Source organism: Homo sapiens, chromosome 9 (genome assembly GCF_000001405.40).
Source record: "Homo sapiens chromosome 9, GRCh38.p14 Primary Assembly".
In the NCBI taxonomy this organism is placed as follows: domain Eukaryota; kingdom Metazoa; phylum Chordata; class Mammalia; order Primates; family Hominidae; genus Homo; species Homo sapiens.
The window spans coordinates 2,139,077-2,164,120 of NC_000009.12; the positions used below are offsets into that span (position 1 = coordinate 2,139,077).

Here is a 25,044-nt window from a genome sequence, read left to right on the forward strand (position 1 = left end):
GATGGACAGGACACCAACATGGTGGAGTCAGTAAAGGGAGCACCTGCTTGCCACAGGGGTTTACTGTAATCACCCAACAGGTCTTCCTTCTGGCTGCACAAAGCCAGGCCACTGAGACCGTGGCATTGCGGTAAAGAAAGAGTTTAATTGACGTGAGGCCAGCCACACCATGTGGGAGATGGAGTTAGTACTCAAATCAGTCTCCCCTAAGACTTGTAGGTTTGGGTTTTTCAAGGATTGTCTGGTGGGCAGGGGGGTAGAGAATGGGGAATGCTGATTGGTTTGGGATGCAGTTATAGAAGTGTGGAAAATGGTCCTCATGTGCTAAGTTAGCCTCTGGGTTGGGGAGCCACAAGACTGGTCGAGTCACCAACACTGGTGTGATATTGTGAAGTCCAGCACGCTAGAGTGTCAACATTCCAGGAAGATCACTAAAATGAACATTTGTTCTGCAAGAGAATTAATAAGTCCAGCATAGGGGTTACTGGTATATATTTTTATTTGCTGCCATTTTATCTGATGATTGACTGTTTTGTTCTATTTTTCTCCATTTTTATAATCACTACCCCCAATATAGTCGCTACTCCAGGTGGAGTCAGCTGGTCGTCAGAAATGCAGAAGTCTGAAAAGACATCTCAAGACACCAATCTTAGGTTCTACGATAGTAATATTGTCTACAGGAGTAACTGGGGAAGTCACAAATCTTGTAACATCAGGGAAAAATACCTGGTTATTGTTTCACTTACATACATCTTAGCAGAATTCAGGCCCCTCTCATAATCCTAACCTGTGGGCTTTCATTAGTTTTACAAAGGTTGTTTAGTTTTGGGAAGGGCTATTATCATCCTTGCATGAAGGTTAAACTACAAACTAAATTTCTCCCAAAGTTAGCTTGACCTATTCCCAGGAATGACTAAGGACAGCTTGGCAGTCAGAAGCAAAATGGAGTCAACTATGTCAGATTTCTCTTACTGTCGTAATTTGCAAAGGCGGTTTTGCTACTTTCCTTGCAAATTAGTTGGGGACTTCAGCAGTTCTGCATAGACCAAGACCAAGAGTTTTCTAGTACTCTCATCAAGAAGTCACCTACTCTGGTCCCATTTTAAATCCCCTGCATACTGTCTAGAAGAATATATAACAGATGCTAACAGGATCCAATTTGTTCATTGAAATATATCAAGTTTTCTCCAAATTTTCAAGACCATATTCATTTGCATTTAATTTTAAAATATCAATACACTGATGTCATGGTATATCATTTGAAGGCACAGGGAAGGATATTGTGAAGTCCAGCAGACTACCGTGTCAGCATTCCAGGGAGATCACCAAAATGAACATTTGTTCTCAAAGAGAATTAATAAGCCCAGCATAGGGGTTCACTGGTATATATTTTTATTTGCCACCATTGTATCTGATGATTGACTGTTCTGTTCTGTCTTTCTGCATTTTTGTAATCACAACCCCCAAACGCCTGAAGCTTTGGGTTTTTATGTAAACTGTAAAGTAGAATTTATTTGGAACCAGTTCCCTGTCATAAAAGCTAATGAAAAATACAGAAGAGTGAAGAAAGAAACTAGAATCACCTATAATCTCATTGACCTTCAGGTATCCAAGGTTGGAGAAGGAGCCAAGAAAAATCATGGACAGAGTTATTTTGGTGCCATTACATTCAGAATTATTTTTAACCTGTTGTGAGGCTCAGCTCTTTTGTAGTAGCTTCAGTAAATCCTAACCCATGATGCACACCGAGCCCCTGCCCGTTAGTGGTAATGTGCATGTCTTTCCATTTGGTTGAGGACACCTTGCTGTACTGGGCACTTGGTGCCAGAGGACTTTTTTTTTTAAGGGCCATTAAGGGATACATGGAGACCTGCATTCTCACACTGGCGCAGTGATTTTTGCTTCCTCTCTGAACCGGCCTTTGGTATTTCACAGGCTGAACCCTTCTCTTTTTAAGTGACCTGTCACCTCTCATGTAGTCAATGCTTTCTTACTGCCACCAAGTTGGCAAGTGTCATGCCATTCCTCTCCCCAGGGGAGAGAATTCTTAATCCAAATTTATTCCCATAGGATTTTCAGGACTTTTCCTGAGCCAAATTAGACCCTTTCTCTCAGTATATCTACTATCTCCTCCTTTCCCTGTATTGGCCAGTGCTAGACTGGAAGCTATAAATAGACAGCACCTTTTAATTCCTTTAAAGATTTGGAGTAGGTATTATTTCTCCCATTCTGCAGGTGAGGAACTAAGCCTCACAGGTAGGGAGTATGGTTTTTGGATTTCGCATTTAGTTAATGACAGGTGTATTTGTTTAGTGAATGTTGAATGTAGAGTTTTACCTTCTTTCATATATTGAAGATGCACATCTATGCAAGTCTGTGCATAATGTAATGGCACAAGGTAATGGCACCAATGGCATCCTATAAATTTTATTTAATAGCCTGTAGCATTGAACGTCTTCAAGCCTTTTAACTCTCAAAGCTAAAATAAGAAGATTGTGTAGTTACTAGTTAAAATAAAGGCAGTTTAAAGAGGTGGGGCTGGAGTAGGGCAAACTGAGAACAAAGATCTTCATTTTGCCCCATTTCTCTGGCCTATTTTTATTCACTATGTAGTTGTGTGGCCCTCCCTTGAGCAGTAATCATCCAAGCCATCTATGCAAGTCTGTGCATAGATGTGCCTCTTCAATATGTTAAAAAAAACTATAGGACTATGGGAGTTTAGTGAAAGTCAATCACATTTTGGTTTACAGCCCCTTTGCCCACTGAGCTGATCTCCTGGCTTGTGAATTCTGGCCTCTTCTTGAAAAGGTGCAGGAGCGCGTCAGATCAGCAACAGGTGGTCTAGCTGGCCCGGGGAGGACTTACGCAGAATTGAAGACAGCCTCCTGGGGGCAGGTGATGAGACCTGCCCGTGAAGGCTGTTAACCTGGCTGCTCCTACAGTAGGGGCCCCTTAGTGGACTTCCTTCTGCCAAGCAGTTAGGACCTACAGGTTAGTTTCCCTCTCCTTGGTTGTCTCTGTTTCTCGAGAAGGTAGGGCCCTTAGCTCCATCAGTCAAGTTGCAGATGCTCTACCTTTGGGCTAGTGGGTGTTGGTCTTCACTGCTCCTCGTCTTGGGTGACACTGGACAATCTTTTTTACTTTGTCAAAAGACAAAATGACATCAAATTTAAAGTTTTTAATTGGCTTTTCCTGTTCTAGAATCAGACAACGTCAAGCAAAGGAAGTTGGCTTAATAGAAAGGGTAGAGGAAAGCAGAAATAGAACAAAAAGCATATTGGTTGTTTCAAAGTTAATTTTCCTTTTAAAGGTTAAAGCAGAGGGAACTTCCTTATGCTTGCTTAAACTGGCCTGTTTGGGGATTTGGTATTCTCTCTCTCTCTCCTGATTTCTCAGAAGGTCAGATAAACAGCTTGGTTTCAGTGGTGTGTAACTTCAGCAAGGGTGATTCCATTTTGGTTTGGCCTGTTGAGTCTAGTGCAGGAGGTCAGTCCAAACCAATGGCCTCCTATAAATGTTATTTAATAGCCTGTAGAGTTGAACGTCTTCAAGCCGTTTAACTCTCAAAGCTAAAATAAGAAGATTGTGTAGTTACTAGTTAAAATAAAGGCAGTTTAAAGAGGTGAGGCTGGAGTAGGGCAAACTGAGAACAAAGATCTTCATTTTGCCCCATTTCTCTGGCTTATTTTTATTCACTGTGTAGTTGTGTGGTCCTCCCTTGAGCAGTAATCATCCAAGCCAGTTGTTAGAACGCGTTTCCCTAGCAAGCTCTGTCATCCTGAGAAAGCAGAGGGGTAAACAATAAAGACTTAATTGTATCTCACCAACATTTTTGGGTCCCATTGGTGAGTAAGGCATCAATTTAAGTGCCTTTGGAAGCAATTTTGATTAAAATGATTTTTTTTAAGTTCTTAAACAGATTTCGGGATGATAGGAGATTCGGACATATTTTAAAACAAAAGAAACTTATACAAGCAGAATTAAACAACCTGGATAAAAGTACCTGTAATGTATTGTGCTAGTACAGGGGAAGGAGGGAACTGCGTAGGATGTTATAAAAGAAATGGTATTTTAGCCTTTTCTTAAAAGATGAGGATGCTTTGGGTAGGAAAGAGGGATCAGGAGAGTTCCAGGCCAAGGGAAGTATACGAAGGCTTGGAAATACGTGACCCCTGCTTACTGTGACTGTGTGTTTGGGACAGAGTTTTTAACAGCAGTAGATGTGGGGAGGAAAAATGAGGCTAGGGCCAGACCCTGGAGGCTATGCATGACCAAAGAATCTGGGCTTTATTCTATTTCACAGAAAGAGTTCAAAGCCTGAGCGTATTTGAAATGAGAGAATGAATGATGTGTCCCTCTGTTTAAGCAGAGAGAAGATACCATTTGCATTGAAAAAGATTAATTGAAGAGGTCAAAGAAAGGGCAGGGAAAACCCATAAGGGAGGCCATTTAAATGTGACCCTGTGGGAGAGGAGACCCGTCTGACAGCAGGGAGACCAGGGGGAAAAGATTGCTTATGAACTATTTCAGAGGTAAACTATATGATGACAAATAGGACTGCAGGGATGTGATAAGGGAAACTGATCATTTTAAAGATTTCCAGGAGAGATAACTGGGAAATGATGCTACCTTTAGATGAGACGGACAGGATCCACAAAGAGAAATATTTGCTTGGTTGAAGGAAAAGTGATAAACTTGATTTGTGATGTTTGGTAGGACAGTGGAATTCCCAATTGGTGACTCCAAAAAGAAGCGCAGGCTAGAGAGATAATTTTTGAAGCCATATGCATTGAGGTTGTAGGGGCCAAGGGAGAACTTCCCCCTTTCCCCTCTGAAGGTTCGTTGAGAATCAACTGACAAAGGCAGATTAATAGGAGAAAAGACATACAAAATGTTAACAGGCATAGCACGGGGAACTCACAGGAGGATGATTACCCAATAACCTAGTGCAATACAGAATCGTACATACCCTTTTCATAGGGGAGCCGGGAGATGGGGGGGGATGTAGGCATTTCTTTTGAGGGGGCAGTCAATCATTAGAGGAAATGAATGGACAGAAGTTAACTTGGAAATGATTTTTTTCTTGAAATTTGAATGAGCCCAAGAGGCAGGTATTATCTTGTGAAGGAGTCTTCTCAGATGTGGTTGCATTCCTCAGTCTTCTTTTCTGAGATAATGAAATTTCAGGGAGGAGAGGGAAACAGTTGTGTTTCTGTTGGCGACCCCTGCGTACTGTGACTGTTAAACTTTCTTGGCCAGATGAGGAAATTCCAGAGCAAGTCCGTTCTTGTGTCCTTCGCTGGATGGGGGTGGGACAAGACCAGGTTAGAAGGACCTCGATTCTGAGGCAGCTTCTAAGGCCTCTAAGCATGTCAAGGCACCAGTCTTTGGGGTATCACTTTCTGAGTCCCGACAAGGTCATGTTTGAAGCCATAGAGGCAAGTAGGATCCCCATGGCAGATTTTACACCCAGGAGGAGGGCTTAGATTCCTCTCAGGAGCCTCCCATCAGTAGTTAGGAGCTGCTCAGAAAGCACTCACCATATGGAGGATTGGAGTCTATGATCTAGGCTGCTCAGCAGGAGTCCACAAAAGAGCCCCGTCTCCAGGATCAGTAAAATTAACAGCCTTCCTGAATTATGGCTTATGTCCCCTCCAGGGGGGCAGTAGTGAAGTTCTCTAGCAGCGAGGCCTCCAGAGGTCATTAAGAGACTCACCTGTTGCTGATCACAACTCATCTCACCTGTTGCTGATCACAACTCATCTCACCTGTTGCTGCTGAGGACATCCAGACTTAGTGGTGCCTGGTGTGTACTCAGAAAGGGTAATTGCCCACATTTGACTGCATATTCACAATCTGTGAATGAAAAAAAAGCCAAAAGAAAAGTTGGGGAATCTGCATTTAAGGAGAGAAAAATGTGGCTAGTAAACTTAGAGAAACGCGCTGGTTATGGTGGCTCATGCCTGTAATCCCAGCATTTTGGGAGGCCTAGGCGGACGGATCACTTGAGGTCAGGAGTTCGAAACCAGTCTGGCCAAAATGGTGAAACCCATCTCTACTAACAATACAAAAATTAGCCGGGCATGGTGGTGCATGTCTGTAGTCTCTCTGAGCTACTTGGGAGGCTGAGGCAAGAGAATCATCCAAACTCGGGAGGCGGAGGTTGCAGTGAGCCGAGACTGCAACACTGCACTTCAGCCTGGGTGACAGAGTGAAGACTCTTGTCTCAAAAAAAAAAAAAAAAAAAAAAAAAGAGAGAGAAACCCAAACACTATAGAAAGGAGAGATATTTTAAGTAAGGAGCAATGGAGGAGAAAGTAAATAAAAGAGTTTAGACAAGACTAAGATGTGGGAATTAGAAAGCTTTTGGCAATTTTTTTAAAATTATTAATGTCCTTCTGGGTGCCAAGGAATTTTATTGTGTGGTCAGGCGGTAGAATCATCCGTAAAGGTGACCCTAGACACCTGACAGTAAAGGGGAGGTGAGGAATGGGTGAAGTAGGGAAGATGCAGAGAGTTTGATGCTAGAGTTTATCCTTTAGTACTTGAAGATTGACATTAAAATACCTAGAACAAATACATTTGGACTTAGTGTTCCATAAATGGATATATATCTAAGAGCAGTTTTCCCAGGGAACCCTATCTAAAAGTTGAATTCGTTCTCAACTGTTTTTACAGTATCTAGTTTCCCTCCCTCATTACTGTGCTATGTACTCTAGGGGAATTGAGAAAAACGAAGGCATTATCTTTGTAAGAAGAAAAAATCAAGATGATCTGGCACACCTGGAGGGGTAGTGGAATGGGAGTTGATCACTGAACATGTATGCAATGTGCATAGGCACAGGGGATTGGGAAAGACATCCCAGGCGAGAAGTAAGAGTAATCACAAAGGTGGGAATAAATATGGCATGCTACAGTGTGGCATGGGCTTTGTGTTCCTATTATTTGCAGAATGTTCGCATAGCTGGGTGTCTTAGTCTGGGATGCTATACCAAAATACCATAGATTGGTTTATAAGCAGTTCTAGAAGCTGGGAAGTCCAAGATCAAGGCACCAGCAGATTCCATGTCTGGTGATTCTGTTTCCTGGTTCATAGACAGTGCCTTTTTGCTGTGTCCTCACATGGTAGAAGGGACATGGGAGCTCTTTGGGGTCTTTTTTAATAAGGGCACTATTCCCAATCATGACCTAATCACCTCCCAAAGGCCCCACCTCCTAATACCATCACCTTGTGGGCTAGGATTTCAAGACAGGAATTCTGGGAGGACACAATCATTTAGTCCACAGCAATAAGAAATATGCGAAATCAGGATGGGTAGGATCAGATCATAGAGATCTCTAGATTCTGTTACCGGATCCCACCACTTACTCAAAGTTAGCCTTTGGATCGGGGGTTTCCTAGGTATTGTGGCTTTGTGGTCACCAGAAAGATGTTGCTGAAAAGGGGTCCGGATCCAGATCCCAAGAGAGGGTTCTTGAATCTTGCACAAGAAAGAATTTGAGGCAAATCCATACAGTAAAGAGAAAGCAAGTTTATTAGGAAAGTAAAGGGATAAAGAATGGCTACTCCATAGGCAGAGCAGCTTCGAGGGCTGCTGCTTGCCCATTTTTGTGGTGGTTTTTTGATGATATGCTAAATAAAGAGTGGATTTTTCATGCCTCCCCTTTTTAGACCACATAGGGTAACTTCCTGATGTTGCCATGGCATTTGTAAACTGTCATGGCTCTGGTGGGAGTGTAGCAGTGAGGGCCACCAGAGGTCACTCTCATCACCATCTTGGTTTTGGTGGGTTTTGGCTGGCTTCTGTACTGCAAGCTGTTTTATCAGCAAGGTCTTTATGACCTGTATCTTGTGCTGACCTCCCATCTCATCCTGTGACTGACAATGCCTTAACTGTCTGAGAATGCAGCCCAGTAGGTTTCAGCTTTATTTTACATAGCCCCTATTCAAGATGGAGTTGCTCTGCTTCAAACATCTCTGACAGTTCCATACAGGCAGGCTTGGAATTGATAGACTGAGGAGAATTTAAGAAACTGAGTAGTGCAGTAGCTCATGACAGAAGTGTTTAAGATCTGAGCAATAGGATACAGCTCATAACTATTTAGAAAAAGTACAGAATCGAGCTATTAAGTATTATTACAGGGAAAAAATGTACTGAGTGACCAAAAAAAAAAAAAAAAAAAGCAAGGTACTATGACCTTCTTTATGACCCCCATTCCAAAAAGATGGAAGAGCAGATGCCTTCTTAAATAATCAGAACCAGTGGTGCATTGGTCAACGAAAACATTCATTAGGGTGAGAAAATAATATGTCACTTATATGTACATGTAATTTTTAATTAAAAGCATATATCTGTTTGCCACATCTTTCATTGTAAGGCTGAGATTGCCTCTTTGAGTAAACTGGCTAGAACACATAAATCACACATAATCTTTCTCACAGAAATAACACCTATAATGTTTCACTTAGGATTTCCAGTTTTGGTGTTCTGGGCGTGGTGGCTCACGCCTGTAATCCTAGCACTTTGGGAGGCCAAGGCGGGAGTATCAGCTGAGGTCAGGAGTTCGAGACCAGCCTGGCCAACACGGCAAAACCCTGTCTCTACTAAAAATACGAAAATTAGCGGGGCGTGGTGGGCGGGCACTTGTAATCCCAGCTACTTGGGAGGCTGAGGCAGGGAAAATTGCTTGAACCCGGGAGGCAGAGGTTGCAGTGAGCTGAGTTCGCACCATTGCACTCCAGCCTGGGTGACAGAGCCAGACTCCGTCTCAAAAAAAAAAAGTAGGGCCTCACCCAGGCTGTAGTGCAGTGGCATGATCACAGCTCATTGCAGCCTCCCTCAAACTCCTGGCCTTGAGTGATTCTTGCACCTCAGCCTCCCAGAGTGCTGGGATTACAGGTGTGAGCCACTATACCCAGCCATGAATGAGAATCCTAATATTAACAAAGCATGCTGAGTTTACACTTGCCTCCCAGTTGTAACAGTCTAGCCCTCACCAAATTCAACAGCATTTCTGTTGCTGCTGCTGTTTTTAAAGAAACTCACCTTTTTGGAGTCTTGTATTGTTCATGCTCTTTATAGAACTAAGAACCCAATTTCTTCTCACAGTTACATTATATTCATTTATGTAAGTACTATCTAATTGAATTAATGTAGCTCCAGTAATAAGTATAACTAACATCAACATGTTTGGGAACACAGCTGATCATTGGTATTTGAGCCAAATGGCAAGAGCAGAGTGGCCTAGACAAGGAAGGTCTGTGCAGTAGGCAGAGTCATAAGTAGTGGTCAGTTGAGTGAGCCTCTTAATTTCCTTCAGATTTATTGACTATCAGTTGTATACCCTCTAAAATTTTCTCTAGATACTCCATTTCTGGAACACATTTTAGGAGATGTTTTCTTTTTTTTATTATTATTTTATTATTATTATACTTTAAGTTTTAGGGTACATGTGCACAATGTGCAGGTTTGTTACATATCTATACATGTGCCATGTTGGTGTGCTGCACCCATTAACTCGTCATTTAGCATTAGGTATAAGGAGATGTTTTCTTTCTTTTTTCTGAGACACACGCACATGCCACCACACCCAACTAATTTTTTTATTTTTTGTAGAGACAGAGTTTTGCCATGTTGCCTAGGCTGGTCTCTAACTCATGGCCTCTAGTAATCCTCCTGCCTCAGCCTCCCAAAGCACTGAGATTACAAGTGTGAGCCACGGTGCCCAGCTTGTTTTCTATAGATCTTGCCATTGCCCATTAGAGCACTTTGTGTTTGTCTCTCCTGCGCAAATCCTTGACTGTGCTTCAGTTGACCTGGTCTCCTGGTGTCTCCTTCTCTGCCACCAACTCTTCATGTTGATTTCAGCCATGTATTACCAGCAAAACGGCTAGTCCTGGCTTGGAATACCAAAAAGCTATGGAAGCCATGCAGGGCCAGAATATAGCTAAGTGTGTTTATTAGTAAAACCTGCCTGTATTAGTCTGTTTTCACACTGCTGATAAAGACATACCTGAGACTGGGAAGAAAAGGAGGTTTAATTGGACTTACAGTTCCACATGGCTGGGGAGGCCTCAGAATCATGGCAGGAGGCAAAAGGCACTTCTTACATGGTGGCGGCAAGAGAAAATGAGAGAGATGCAAAAGTGGAAACCCCTGGCTGGGTGTGGTGGCTCACACCTGTAATCCAAGCACTTTGGGAGGCTGAGGCAGGTGGATCACCTGAGGTCAGGAGTTCAAGACCAGCCTGGCCAGCATGGTGAAACCCCATCTCTACAAAAATATAAAAAAAATTAGCCAGGCATGATGGTGGGTGCCCGTAATCCAAGCTACTCAGGAGGCTGAGGCAGGAGAATTGCTTGAACCCGGGAAGCAGAGGTTGCAGTGAGCCACGAACATGCCATTGCACTCCAGCCTGGGCGACAGAGTGAGACTCCTCAAAAAAACAACAACGAAAAAGGAAACCTCTTATAAAACTATCAAATCTTGTAAGATTTATTCACTACCATGAGAACAGTGTGAGGGAAACCGCTCCCATGATTCAAATTATCTCCCACCGGGTCCTTCGCACAACATGTGGGAATTATGGGAGTACAATTCAAGATGAGATTTGGGTGGGGACACAGAGCCAAACCATATCACTGGCCATGTTCACCTTTGTTCTTATTTTTTTGCGCTTTAGAGATTCATTTTAAAGTTTATTGGATAGCAAATTGTCTTTGCCACATATATGTAGCTCTTAGCTAACCAAAACTCAAAATTTTGTTTGGCATTTTAGCTTTATTAAATAAAGTGGGATAGACATACTTGACAAATAACCTTTTATATACTTAGCAACAGCATACAGACTAGATCTGAAATGAGTGTACATTTCAAGTTGGCTTCTCAAATTTAACTAGAACCAGACACTCCTCTACTGACACTCTAATAATATGTGTATGTGCATCTATGTGTATTTATGTATGTGTACATACATGTATGTGAGTACATGCGTCTGTATCTATTGCTAACCAAATACTTGTGTGTGAGTGCAAGGAATTAGAACCTCCCTGGGAAGAGCTAGTCATCTCCTTCACACAGTATACTTTTTGCATATCTCCTGTTGGCCTCTGCTTATTCATGGCTTCTACTCATAACATCCCTAGCATAATGCTACCTTATGACCTATATTCAACTTCTACTGCCATACCAACTGGACATGTTCTTTCACACCTGCAGCTCAAATTCTTAATAGAAGTGAACTGACTGGCTCAGCCAATCACTCTGGCTGTGCTTGTGCAGAGACCCTCATGCCAGGCCCCACACAAGCTTAGAGACAGGGTACTCTGAGAACAGGGGACCATTCCCATCTCCATCAGGTGAGACTAGGACAGATAGCAGCTGCCTGATACAGAAGATGGCAGCGCAGGCAGCAGATGCTGTGGGTGGGGCAGTTTCCCTTAGATTATAGGATGGCAGGAAAGATAAAGCCTGCCATCGTTTACTCCGAGGGGTGTGTTATATGTGCCTACGAGCAGCGTTGCTTTGCACCATTCCATATGTACACATTCCCATCACTGGATATAGTTAAACACCAGTCCCTCAATGACAAATTTTAGTTACCCTATGTAATAGTTTGCTAGGACTACCATTATAAAATACCACAGATTGGTGGTTTAAACAACAGAGATTTATTATCTCACTGTGTGGAGGCTGGAAGTCTGAGATCAAGGTGTCAGCAGGTTTGGTTTCTTCTGAGACTTCTCCCCTTGGCTTGTAAATGGCTACCTCCTTGGTGTATGTATGCGGGGTTGTTCCTCTATGTGCATCTGTGTCTTAGCAGCCTTTTCTTAGAAAGACAGCAGTCATATAGGCCTAGGGCCATTTTAACTCTTTAAAAGCCCTATCTCAAAATACAGTCACAATCTAAAGTCTTGGGGATTAGGACCTCAACGTATGAATTTTAGAGGGATGCAGTTCAGCCCATAACACTATAGTATAGCAATTCCGAGTCACTGCACATAAAACACAGACTTTGGGGCTAACTTCACAAATCACTATGTACATGACACATGTACATTTTGATCAATAACTAATCATATCACTTCTCAGAATCTGGTGGTGATTTGTTAGCGAGCGTCTGTTCAGTTCATGCACAGACAGCAAAGTATGTAGCTGTGTTGCTGCCTTCTTTCTCAGTGAAAACATGACATTTAAAAAAATAGTTCATCAGGAGAGGGAATTGGCCACCAAAGATGAAAGTGCTGCAAAGAAACAGGTAGTAGTAATGAAGGAAGTGAAATTTGTTGTGATGAGATGTGAAAATGGCAACAGGATAACGAAGACAGTACAAGACCCAGGCCAGCATGAAGCTACAGTACGAACCAGATTGAGGCTGGGCACAGTGGCTCATGCCTGTAATCCCAACACTTTGGGAGGATGAGGCAGGTGGATCACCTGAGGCCACGAATTTGAGACCAGCCTGGTCAACACAGTGAAACCCCGTCTTTACTAAAAATACAAAAAAATTGGCTGGGCCCAGTGGTGCCTGCCTGTAATCCCAGCTATTGGGAGGCTGAGACATGAGAATCTCTTGAACCCAGGAGGTGGAGGTTGCAGTGAGCCAAGATTGTACCACTGCATTCCAGCCTGGGTGACAGAGCAAGACTTCGTATCAAAAATAAAAAATAAATGAATTAAAAAATATGTAAACCACACTGAAAATGTCCAATGAATATAAAAAAAACACAGTAAAGTCATCTCAATATATTTTAATTTAAATTGCGCTAGGAACAGAAAACCACTTATGATTGAAATTGAGTATTTTACTTTAGTTGGAAGACCATAATGATTTTTAAAAATCCTGCTTAGTTTGACTAGTATTCAGGCCAAAGTGTTTAAAAATCCTGCTTAGTGTGACTAGTATTCAGGCCAAAGAAGTTAGTTTCTGAATTAAAAGAAAATGGTAATTACATGGAGACTATAGGAGGACTTTTGACTGCCAGTAAAGACTGGTTTCATTGTCTCAGAAGTCACCATGAACTGATGAATGTTAAATAGTCTGATGACACCACTAGTGTAAATCAGGATGCTTCCGTGAAATTTCACCCCGAATCCCAAGATGGAGGCAGGTTTATGATGATCCTGGAATATTTCATGCTGATGAGATAGATCTTTTGGAAGACAACCCTATCAAGAACTTAAGTGAAGAAAGGCTGGGTGCCATGGCTCATGCCTGTAATCCCAGCACTTTGGGTGGCCGGGGCAGGTGGATCACCTGAGGTCAAGAGAGTTTGAGACCAGTCTGGCCAACACGATGAAAGCCCATCTTTACTGAAAATACAAGATTAGCCAGGTGTGGTGGCTCATGGCTCATGCCTGTAATCCCAGCTACTTGGAAGGCTGAAGCAGAATTGAACCTGGGAGGCAGAGGCTGCAGTGAGCTGAGATTGTACCGCTGCACTCCAGCCTGGGCAACAGAGCGAGACTCCATCTCAAAAATTTAAAAAATAAGGTCGGGTGCATTGGCTCACACCTGTAATCCCAGCGCTTTGGGAGGCTGAGGTGGGCGGATCACCTGAGGTCAGAAGTTCAGGACCAGCCTGGCCAACATGGCAAAACCCCATCTCTACTAAAAATATAAAAATTAGCCAGGCGTGGTGGTGCACACCTTTAGTCCCAGGTGCTTGAGAGTCTTGGGCAGGAGAATCACTTGAACCTGGGAGGCGGAGGTTTCAGTGAGCCAAGATCACGCCACTGCACTCCAGCCTGGGCAACAGAGGGAGCAAGACTGTCTCAAAAAATAAAAATAAAAGAATTTATAAAAAATAAAAATAATTTATGTGAAGAAAGATGTAGGATCACAAAGTGGCCATACAGGAGAGATTCTAGATATTCAGCTAGGGAAATTGGTGAAGGTGAACTTACCCACATAAATGAGGGATGTGGCTATCAAGAAAACGATGAAGATGACCCAGAGGAAGTGATAATGGCAAAAACAAACAAACAACCAAAAAAACAAAGTCACAGTAAAGGAACTCAGCTAATTCACGACATGGAAATGGCAAAGGATAAAATGTTGGAAGCCAACCCAAATTTAGGAGTATGGCAGTTTTCCAAGGCATAGAAAAGACGTGTATTCTATATCGTAAGTTATTTGACAAGGAGAAGAAAAGCACTGTTCAAAGTGCCCTCGATAGGCCAGATGTGATTGCTTGCTCCTGTAATCCCAACACTTTGGGAGGCCAAAGCAGGAAGATCGCTTGCGCCCAGGAGTTCAAGACAAGTGTAAGCAACATAGCCTGACCCTGTGTCTACAAAAAAGAAAATCGCCAGGCATGGTGGTGTGCGCCTGTAGTCCCAGCTCTCAGGAGGGTGAGGTGGGAGGATTGCTTGAGCCCACAAGGTTAAGGCTGTAGTGAGCTGTGATTGATTACACCACTGCACTCCAGCCTGGGTAACAGAATGAGGCCCCGTCTAGAATAAAGCAAAGCAAAGCAAAATACTCTGGATAGAGTTTTTTTAATAGGGAAATGAAACATTTTAATGCTCAATGTTTTTAATATTTTAAATTACTGTACTAAGCAAATGCTTATTTTACTAGTTTTTTCCTTCCCCTCTACATGTATGAGTTTTTAATGTTTAGACATAAATTTTTTAAAGTTGTGGAACAGTAATCCCATTGACTATTAAAATGACTTGTGCACTTTGAACTTGCATGGTTACTTTTATGGTTCCACACGTCTATGCAAAGCTGTGTGTGTGTGTGTGTGAGAGAGAGAGATCTTTGCTGGAAGTGTGTTTATCTGTGTGTGATATTTGCTGAAAGTCTTCCTAAGATGTATCATGTTATGTTTTTACTTGAATTATTCACCTAAGCCTGGCAAGTATAACTTAGCCTTTTCCTGATGGTGCAGTCATCATTAATAATAAGTTATTGTTTTCTGCTATAACGTAGAATAATCTGGTAGTTAAGGGTGTGGTTTATGCAGCCAGACTTTGAGTTCAAATACTGAGTCATCTTCTTACTATGATATGATCTGGAACAAGATGCTATATCTCTCTGTGCCTCAGTTTCCTCATCTGCAAAATGCAGAGAGTAAGAGTGGCTACCTTTTTAGGGTTATTGTGAGGTTTAAATGACTAAATGTACCCAAAGCACTGAGTGGCTGTCAACACAGCAAACGTGTTAGCCAATGTTGCTGCTGCTGCTGGCAGGGACAATGGTGGTAGTAGTAGTAGCTGCATCAGTAGTAGTAGAAGTATTAATGATGCTGTGTATCTGAAGATTTATTAAAAGTTGGGGCTATTTTTTTCTATATTAGACAGCCTCAAACTACTATGCTTTTGATTTCTTCTGTTGCTTTATTTACGTGTTTTCCTCTCTCATGATTGGGCTGTTAATGGACATTCTTTGCATTGGACTCAAGCAGAACAACTACCTCATTCTCATCAGTATCTTATTAATTTGATGTTCTTAACCACGATGGGTGTAGTGACCTTCTGAAAGTCTGACTTGTTGCAGTAGCGTGGAACCCTGGATTGTGGCTCAGTTCCTCATGGACGGCCTATCCCAGGGAAGCCCAGGAAAGAACCATTTATTTTGCTCAGGCCTCACACATTCATGAAGGTGCTTCCAAGTTGCCATTTGACATTATCTCCAAATGAGGTTATGCTCTTAATAGTTGTATTTTATCTGTCTTAAAAGCATTAAGTTATTCTTTGTGAGCATTAAAACTATATTAGTTTGTTACCCTCTTTTGGCATTTCATTTTTAATATACTGAGAACCTCGAAGTACAGAAGTGGCCCAGGCCCTTCTGAGGAGCCCTGCTCAACAGACAAGCGGATGGAGTTCCTGACTGTGTTAAGAGTAGATAGTAACTTGATTGATGATCTCGGAATAGGAAAGCAGAACTGTATTTCTTGCAGTTCTCCATTGTTTCTCTAAGTCTCTTGCAGGGTCTCAAGATCATCTCTCAGGTTTTTTGATTCTACCCCAGGGAGCTGAGCATAGCATGTGCCTAACTTGTAAGAACAAAGGTGTAAATACTTCACATTTATAATTTGGTAGGGTCTTCAGGGCCAGACGTTTTGTGGGCCAACCTCCACTAAATCTAAAAGTCATTCTCCAAATAGAGTATATTGTGTTTAATACTGCTTAAAAGGTATCAGTCACATGGGTTCTTAGTTGAACTTATGGCTAAAATAATTTTTAAACTCATTTTTCTTTTTATTTTTTTTTTGAGACTGAGTCTTGCTCTGTTGCCCAGGCTGGAGTGCAGTGGGGCAATCTCGGCTCACTGCAGCCTCCGCCTCCCGGGTTCAAGCGATTCTCCTGCCTCAGCCTCCCGAGTAGCTGGGACTACAGGCACGTGCCACCACACCTGGCTAATGTTTGTATTTTTAGTAGAGATGGTGTTTCACCATATTGGCCAGGCTGGTCTCGAACTCCTGACCTTGTGATCCACCCGCCTTGGCCTCCCAAAGTGCTGGGATTACAGGCGTGAGCCACTGCGCGGGGGCATTTTCGTTTTTCCAACCAAATTGCTTTTAACTAAAATAGTGTATTAATTGACCTTGTCTCAGATGTGTAAGCCGTAGCTCCCCTTTTCCCTTCGTCACCCACCTCCATGTGCTTATGGCATATGGGGAAAGAGAAAACCTTTTTTTTTTTTTTTTTTTTTTTTTTTTTTTTTTTTTTCAAAAGTGATCTGAAGTTATTGATCAGTAAACTGGAAAACCCACTGTACCAGAAATTCAGTTAAGCTGAGGCTCAATTTTCTTCCCCTTTATGGTCAGCTTTGTACATTTCAGTCCCAAATCAGGGAGAACTGGGAGTGCAGTTGGCATCCCAGTTGCCTGACGAATGAAATACGAAACAGAGTCTGTTGAGTTAATGTCATCAGTTTATTGAACCACAGTCGGAGGAAAAAAACTATATCCAAAAAAGTCCTTACCCTTCAGACCAACTCATCTCTTGAATATGGGAAGCATTTGTTAACAAAAGTATAAGGTTTGTGAATAGTTATGTGCTATACACAGTTATTTTCTTACATCATGGATATTCCCTTAATAACCTTTGAAAGAATAAATGGGGATTTTCGAAAAGTTCTAGCCATTGGCCAGGGCAAGACTGAACGTGCTATCTGTTGAAATGTTAAAAGGGTTGAATTCTGAAGGAAAGCTAGCAAGATTTCGCTAATATGTGCTGTGTGTCGAGGTGGTAAGAACATGTATGAACCTGCAGTTGTTGGGGTTTAATTGGGGTTAAGTTGTTCCTTAATTTAGATAATTTGGTTTCTTTTCAGGGACTTTTTTTTCTTATGGGAAAATACCATAAAGTTTACCATTTTAGACTTTTTTTTTTTTTTTTTTTTTTTTTTTTTTTTGAGGCAGAGTTTTGCTCTTGTTACCCAGGCTGGAGTGCAATGGCACAATCTTGGCTAATTGCAACCTCAGCCTCCCGAGGTTCAAGCAATTCTCCTGCCTCAGACTCCTGAGTAGGTGGGATTACAGGGCATGCGCCACCATGCCCGGCTAATTTTGTATTTTTAGTAGAGATGGGGCTTCTCCATGTTGGTTAGGCTGGTCTCAAACTCCCTACCTCAGGTGATTGACCTGCTTTGGCCTCCCAAAGTGCTGGGATTACAGGCATGAGCCACCGTACCTGGCCCATTGTAGCCATTTCAAGTGTACATTTCAGTAACATGAAGTACATTTACATTGTTGTGCAACCATCACCAACATCCCATCTTCAGAACTTTTCCGTTATCTCAAACTGAAATTCTGACCTCATTAAGCACTAACTCCCCGGCCGTCTTCCCTCAGCCGCTGGTAACCACTGTTCTCTTTTCTCATCTCTGAAATCATACAGTATTTGCTTTTTTGCGTCTAGATTATTTCACTTTAGGGAATTTGATTTTATGTCAGTTTTTCTAACAGGTTGCTTGTGGAGACAGTAATAATCAAAAACTTACTGTCCAAAGCCCTGAGTCTGAAATTCTGCATCCAAAAGTGCTACAGTATGCATTAAACCGATTAAAATAACGTAGCATCTTTGAGGACGAGCTCTATGTTCAACTTTGTTGTTGTTTAATATTTATATTGTAAGAAAATCTCTCATATATGAAAATGTAAATGTAAAATTCCACTATTTTGTTGCCATTGCTTTTCTTGTTTGGGGGATCATTACTGTATTATTGGCTTCCAGGATCTCAGCAGGGCACGAGGGAGGTTTAGCCTGTCTGAATTTTGGAATCAAGTTTGGTGATGTGTGAGCTGTCCCCAGAAAGCACCAGTATAATGTAGTGGTCTTAACCTGCATTCTTTAACGCTTAGCCCTGGGCTCTATAACCCCACCCCCATGCCCAGCAGCATCCCAGGGTCCTCTTCTGGAATCCAACTAGAGTTCCTAAGGGAGGAGGATCCCCAGAGGGAGAAAGAGAAAGTGTCAGTGGACAGAAATATGATACTGAAATAGCAGAGTTAGTGTTTGAGTACTGACTTTTCCCGTTGCACATGGAAGAAATTTCCATGCCTTGTCTGGATATCTTTAGAATTGCTCCTTTCAGTGTTAAGATGGTTTGTTCCACTGTAAGGACTGTGCCACATGGCTTGGTGGACTTGGAGAGGCGGAGGTGGAAACGATGCGCAGGAGTTGGCTTGGGGCTTTTTGTTTGCGTGTCCCTGTTTACCTATTCATAATCATGGATCCCCTCTGCTTTGTGATACTGTGAACCACGCATAACAGCAATTCTTTACACCACCGGGTTGAGAAGAAGGCGCCTGAGGCTGACTTTCTGGACCTGCCGTCACGCAGTAAAGATGTGGTTGGTGTGTGTCAGGATGAGAGGGCCACGACTGGACCCACGTGTGGCTGCTTCCCGGGTCTGCCATGTGCTTTGCTAGCTGCAAAGCGTTTCCTCTAGAACAGCTAATCCTGCATGACTGTCTCCTGCATTTTGCTGTCAGAACGTGCACGCCGCTTTCATAAGAACTAATTGAAGAGGGAGCTAGTTTGCATCTCGTTCTTGCACACCCTGAGTCATGAAAAACATTTTCTTTTAAGCAAAATTGAAAGAAAGAAAAGAGAGAAAGAGGGCCAAAAAAAAAAAAAAAAAAAAAAAAGGTTGCCATCCAGTGGAGGAAGGAGTAATTCCCAGCTTCATTCAGGAAAAACGCAGGCTGAAATATGCTTAACTGTTTTAACTTGACTGGGGATTTTTACCACCATATGGGTTTTTTTTCGTGACATCCGGAGCCAAACGGGTGCAGTGTGCCTTTAAGAAAAGAGGTGCCTCACTAAACTTCGCTGTAGTTGTGTTTCACCGTCTCGGTAGGGAAGGAAAGTGTTAATTTCTTATTTGTACACTTTTTTTCCCCGACTTCCTTCCTATTCACTTCATTAAATCTAGAGGCAGTTGAGCATGGGAGCCGTCTGTATGTTGAATTAGGGCTCGCACTCTTGCGCAACACGTCACCAGTCGGAAACTGGGGGTTTGCTTCTGTGATTTATTTCATTATTGTGCTGGTAAAAGGTTTGGAAGGGAATTCTTTTTGGGGGTAGTACTTTAGCATTGTGTAGCAAGTTTTGGGGTTTTTTTTGTGTGTGACCCCCCAGCCCCCAGCGCTGAGTTTGAGTCAGTTGAGCCAGTTTAGTAAATAATTTTTTAAAATAAAAGAACAGTTTAAAATCTCCATGAATAATTTTACTTACATGCAGGAGTAATCTTACTCTACTCTTTATGTGCGAAAAGCATTGGGAAGTGTTTAGTGAATTGATTTCCATTAGAAAAAGACCCTTAGAAATCACAGAACATAAAGCACTGCATATGGATGTGTTTGGGGTCTTTGGGGAGGAGGGAAGATGTTTTGTAGCTCTCTGCATTCCTGCATAAAACCTTAGTTTGAGGGGAATAATGGTCAGTACTTTGTGTGTTTCCTTGTAATTCCAAAACCTAAATTTAATAAGAATCTGCACGTATTAGCAGTTGTAATAAAAATTGTTTCAGTTGTTCTGTTTGCAATTTAATTTGTTTTCGCTTCTTAGCTACTCACAGATTTAGAGATTTAAAAGTCCAAATATCACAAGCTTATGCTTTTTCCCTCTTTTCAAAATTAAGGCGGGGTGAGAGTAGAAATATCCTTTTTACAACTCCCCCCAACTTCATTTATCTCAGTGAGAAGAAAAACAATGAAAAATTTTACAGCATGAAACTGAAAGTGAAGTGTTACAGTTGTTCTGAATTTTCTTTAAAGAGCAGAATAACATATTATGTTAAAATATTTGAATCTTAGAACATGTACATTGCTTTTATTTACATGCATTTAATTTTCTTAAAAAATTGTCTTCTGTTTTAAAAATCATTTAGACTGCTCCAAACCATGCTGCTATTTTTTAAAAAATAAGGTACAAAATACCAAAAAAGCATACCTTGTTTTAATTTTTTAAAATAAATTTGAATATTAATTTGTTTTCTTACTGGCTTAATTGTTAAAATGCGAGCAAGACTCAGAAACCATCTGAGCTAAAATCTCTAATTCTGCTGCCTGGAATAATAAGGGGAAAAAAATATGATAAGTAGTTGTCAATATTAAAACAGGCTGAAGGAGGAAGCCTTCGGGCCTTGTAGTAGGTAGCATGAAACAGCAGATTTGAGTATCCACAATCCTTTCAGTATTAAATTTTCAGTAAAATAAAATTACTTGTATATGAAAACACAGCCTTTCCCCAGCTCTCTTTTTTTTCCTGATCAGCTGATGAAGAGACTAGCAGCTCGCTGCTTTGCTGGCTTGTTAATTTTATCCCCACTAACTGTGATTTCTGATAGCCGGCCTGCTGATAGTGGTAAGGTAAATATCCTTTTTCGTTGCCGTCTTGAAGATTCAGTAGAACTACATCCCAGGCATGTGTAGGTGTGTAACACATCAAAAGCCGGTGTTCTCCGTATTTCTGTGTGCAACTGGGTGCTTGAGGAGAGCAATACCATTAACTGTTGACAGCCTTGCATGCTGTATTTATTATTAGCATGTTCAGCCTCCAAGATATGCGGGACAATTTCCTTTTCTTAATCTTCGCTTAGCTGCAGTGTGTTTAGCTGTATAGTGGGTGTCCTGCTTTTAGGCAAATGAATATTAATGCAATAATGTGAAGCTTTTTTTTTTTTTTTCCTTTTCCTTTTTCCTCATAACTCATCAGATCTCGCCTCCTTCATAGTGGTTATCTGAACACTGTAGGATCGTGATGGAAATTGTCTTTTGATTATTAAGGCCTAGGCTCAGACTGTCCCTTAGGAATCTGTCTGTGTGCATGTTGCTTCTATGGATTTGCACATTGGAGGATGCGTAGAAAACATATTTTTTTAAAAATCCCACTGGCATTTTTAACATGCCAGGTTGTTTTGTGTTCTGCACCAGGTTTTCTTCACAAAACCTTTCTTTTTCAGGAAGCGTTGTACATAAGTGAAAGAAATTATGTCTGAGCTGTAATCACTCTTTATATTGATTGTTATACTCACATGATCATAAATATTAGCCATGTTTGGTGCTGTGGAGAAATGAAGGTAATTGCCTTATGATTAGAGCTCTTTCAGCTACGAGAAAGGATTGATTATCATTTGCATACTGGAGGCAATATTGAGAGGCAGGAGGAACAAATAACAACATTAGTTATTTTGTGTGAGAGAGCAATCTCAAAACGTAATTTAAAGATCTTTTTTTTAGAAAATTTCTTTTCTATGTTCAAATTTTATGTTCTTTTTTTTTTTCTTCCTTGGCAGTATTTTTCCCCTTTATTTTTCTTCTTTTGAGTTTTGAGATTTACCAGGAAAAAAAAAAAAAGTTTAAACTTCTGGGTCTGTCACATGGATCTTTTAGCCCTTTATGAACAGGTTTCTTTTATACCTGGTTGTTTTTATAGCTATTTTATTATCTCTCTGCATTAGTGCTGCTGGCTCTGGTTTAAAGCAAGCGTTTGCAGGTAATTGGAAAAAAGTGTTTATTGTTTGTGAGTGTGTGTGTTCTTTATCGAATGATTTAAGTGCGTTTACCAAGGAATGTGGCTTTGTACTTTCCCGTTTCCTTGTTTACTAATTGCCACGTTAGAACAAAAATCTAGATGGAATTTTGATTTATATTGTTAATCATGAATAAATTGATGCAAAACCTGAAGAAAAGGTCAAAGCTTATATGATCGTGTGGATGTATTCTTAGGGATTGTTTTTTCATAACCCACCCCTCGTTTTGTTTACCTTTTCCTTCCCTTACAGTAATGAGAACATTAGGGTCTTGTTCTTAAACTGAGCTAAAATTTCATCTGGATTCAGTTATCATCAAACACTTGAATTTATAGATCTTTTAATATTTGTCATATTCTCCTTTACTGTGAGTGTTTTGGGCCTTCAGTGTGTTTTGCTCATGAAACAGACTTGAGTTAAAGATGCATTTATCCAATATGGTAGCATTCCTTTTTTCTTCTTCCTCCACTGATTACTGTTAACTTTTACTTTTTTTTGGTTAATTTCTTTCATTTTATTCTAATTGTTGGAGCTATATATAAATATACACATACTTTTTTTGTCTTGGTTATTCTCTTGTCTTGAATTTGTCTCCTTTGTTTCCAACGAACAGGCCATCGAAGACGGCAATTTGGAGGAAATGGAAGAGGAAGTACGGCTTAAGAAGCGAAAAAGACGAAGAAATGTGGATAAAGATCCTGCAAAAGAAGATGTGGAAAAAGCTAAGAAGAGAAGAGGCCGCCCTCCCGCTGAGAAACTGTCACCAAATCCCCCCAAACTGACAAAGCAGATGAACGCTATCATCGATACTGTGATAAACTACAAAGATAGGTGAGTGTTTGGTTCCTTCACCTTGATCATCTCTCACCAAGACGCCGAGTGGCGCTCCCTGAGGAGCAGGAGTTGTTAAGTTGTGCACTTAGGTTTTATTAAGGTTCTTTCTAGTTTGTGTTTTATGGCTTTCTCTCTTTGTACCTGTTTAAAATGGCCACTGTTGCTATTTTGTATGATGTTTCATCAGGTATTATTTAAGATAGTTGAAAATTTAGTTTAGATTACAAAATGTTTAAAATATCTAAATTAGAAAAGGATTCTTAAGGACCTCTGAAATACCATCTGAAAATGAAGATATTTCAGATGAAAGGGATTGGAATGATGGAGTAATATTATTTTTTTTAATTGAATTGTTAGAGAAAGAAGAATCCTAATATATTTAAGGTAAATATTTCATGTTAAGACTGTTTAAAGCAAAATAGATGCTTCATAGTAAATACAGTTTCTCCTTTCCTTCCAACACTTGAATTTCTGAGCACTTGAATTATCTCTTTCTTCCTAATACCACATAGCATGGTCTTTCAGCAAATTTACCTTTTTTATGGGATTTTTGGATACAGACTTTGAGAAAGCTGTGTGGGACACTCCTCCCAGGCCATTTTAAACAGTGAATAATTATTTGAAAACCAAAGACACTGTAGGGTGTCAGTCAGATCCATACAGTAGATGAACTAGTTAGGCTACGTTTTGGTTAGTTGACTTGGTTTCCACTTTATTATCACGTGGTAATGTTTTTATTTGAAGATGGCTTCTCGTTTCAGTTGAAAAATTGACAGGAAACAGACATTTTCACTCTCTCAGTTGCATAGTGGTATTAATCAGTTTTAAATTACCAATTGAAAAAAATTTTTTCTTAAGGGGGTGCATCATTCCTGGAGGTACTGCAGTACCAGGTCGATGTGTGGAGTGGATGAAGCAAGCTCCTCTTCTAGCTCCCTGCTTCCAAAATCCACTTAACATATTGTCCTCGGATAGAGGAGGAATCAGATATTAAGCATGTAACAACAGATACTACACTTGGTCTTAGCCAAAAGGCTGAGAAGCAGTTAGTTACCAGAAATGTTTGACATTAACTAGTGTTGCTCTGTGCACCTGTAAGTGTTTAACATGAATAACTACGTTGTGTTTTTAGTTTTTCATTATGGCTTTGCCGAATACATCATAGCAGGAAGGAAAAATTATTATAAAAATTAAGTGGTATAAAAAGCAAGAAACTTTCCACCATGGGGTTTTGCTGTTAAGCCTTTCTTATCTGCAAGGAGTTTTCAGAAATGGGGAAAGAGGAGTAGGTGGAGATGTTTGTCAAAAGGCCAGAAATTCTTGCTCCATTTTGCCCACCAGGTCTCTCAGATTTTGTGCTGTTTTCCTTTTTTCAAAAAATAAATTAAGTTCATCCCCTTTAAGGCTTCTGAAGTGGCCAGAATGGCAACCCCATTCTCTTGGGTTTGGACCAACGGTTCATTAATGAAGGGGAATGACAGCAATCCAGGAAGGAAATTTTGACCGCAAGTCCATGCTTTGTCCAGAGTGAACATGAAAACTTCCTTGTAAACCATGAATCAGTAACTCTTACGTTTTTACTCACCCCCAAGCTCCCCTTGTATATTTGCCACAGAAAGGGACAGTATTCTAGAAGCCAGCTTGGATTATTATGCCGTATTTTCTCAGTCCCTGGTTTAAAACAAAATATTACTAAGTAGAGAGCATCACTCTGTATATACATCAAACTTTTTTGCCTTTGTCTCAGGAGAGTGTAACGTCTGTTTCTCTGACCAGATGGGCTGTGATGTGTGACAGGCATTTTGTTCATTACTTGCTGAGTGAGTCAAGGGCTGTTATAACACTGAGAAGGGCCAGGAAAGTCCTTGGAGGTTGAGAAGCTAGGCCTTTCATTCTAAGGTGATGGCTGTGTCTTTCTCTAGTGACATAAAAGAAGTCACCAACAGGTGGATGACATACTGCCAACAGATTCGTTTGGTTTTATGCTTTTTTTTGAGGGGTGGGGGTCAGCAAATACATAAACCTGGAGAGATTTCTTGCAAAAATTTCCCTCCCATCCCCCACCCTTTTGAAAAACCAGAAACTCTGGCAGCACTTTGCCCAGCTCTCCCTAAGGTAACAATCAGTAGGCATGAAGAAGTGGCCATCCTTTCATTGGCAGCATCGCGCTCTAGGTTGTCACAATCCCCGTCACTCTGTATCATCTCTTCAGTA

The 25,044-nt window shown here is 41.1% G+C and overlaps 1 protein-coding gene and 1 pseudogene across 7 annotated transcripts in view; one reads left to right on the plus strand and one right to left on the minus strand.

Moving 5' to 3' along the window:
* The window catches only part of SMARCA2 (SWI/SNF related BAF chromatin remodeling complex subunit ATPase 2), a 178,274-nt gene that overhangs the window by 123,730 nt on the left and 29,500 nt on the right, over nucleotides 1-25,044 (plus strand). For 4 of the 7 annotated variants that reach the window (NM_003070.5, NM_139045.4, NM_001289397.2 and 1 more), the window contains exon 28: nucleotides 22,610-22,827. In NM_003070.5, coding sequence (NP_003061.3) covers nucleotides 22,610-22,827 — 218 coding nt within the window. Of the gene's footprint in view, nucleotides 1-18,585; nucleotides 18,815-19,387; nucleotides 19,903-20,737; nucleotides 20,834-22,609; nucleotides 22,828-25,044 lie in introns of those variants that run through there. The other 3 variants (NM_001289400.2, NM_001289399.2, NM_001289398.2) reach the window with 3 other exon arrangements.
* Nucleotides 23,687-23,877, minus strand: RNU2-25P (RNA, U2 small nuclear 25, pseudogene; annotated as a pseudogene).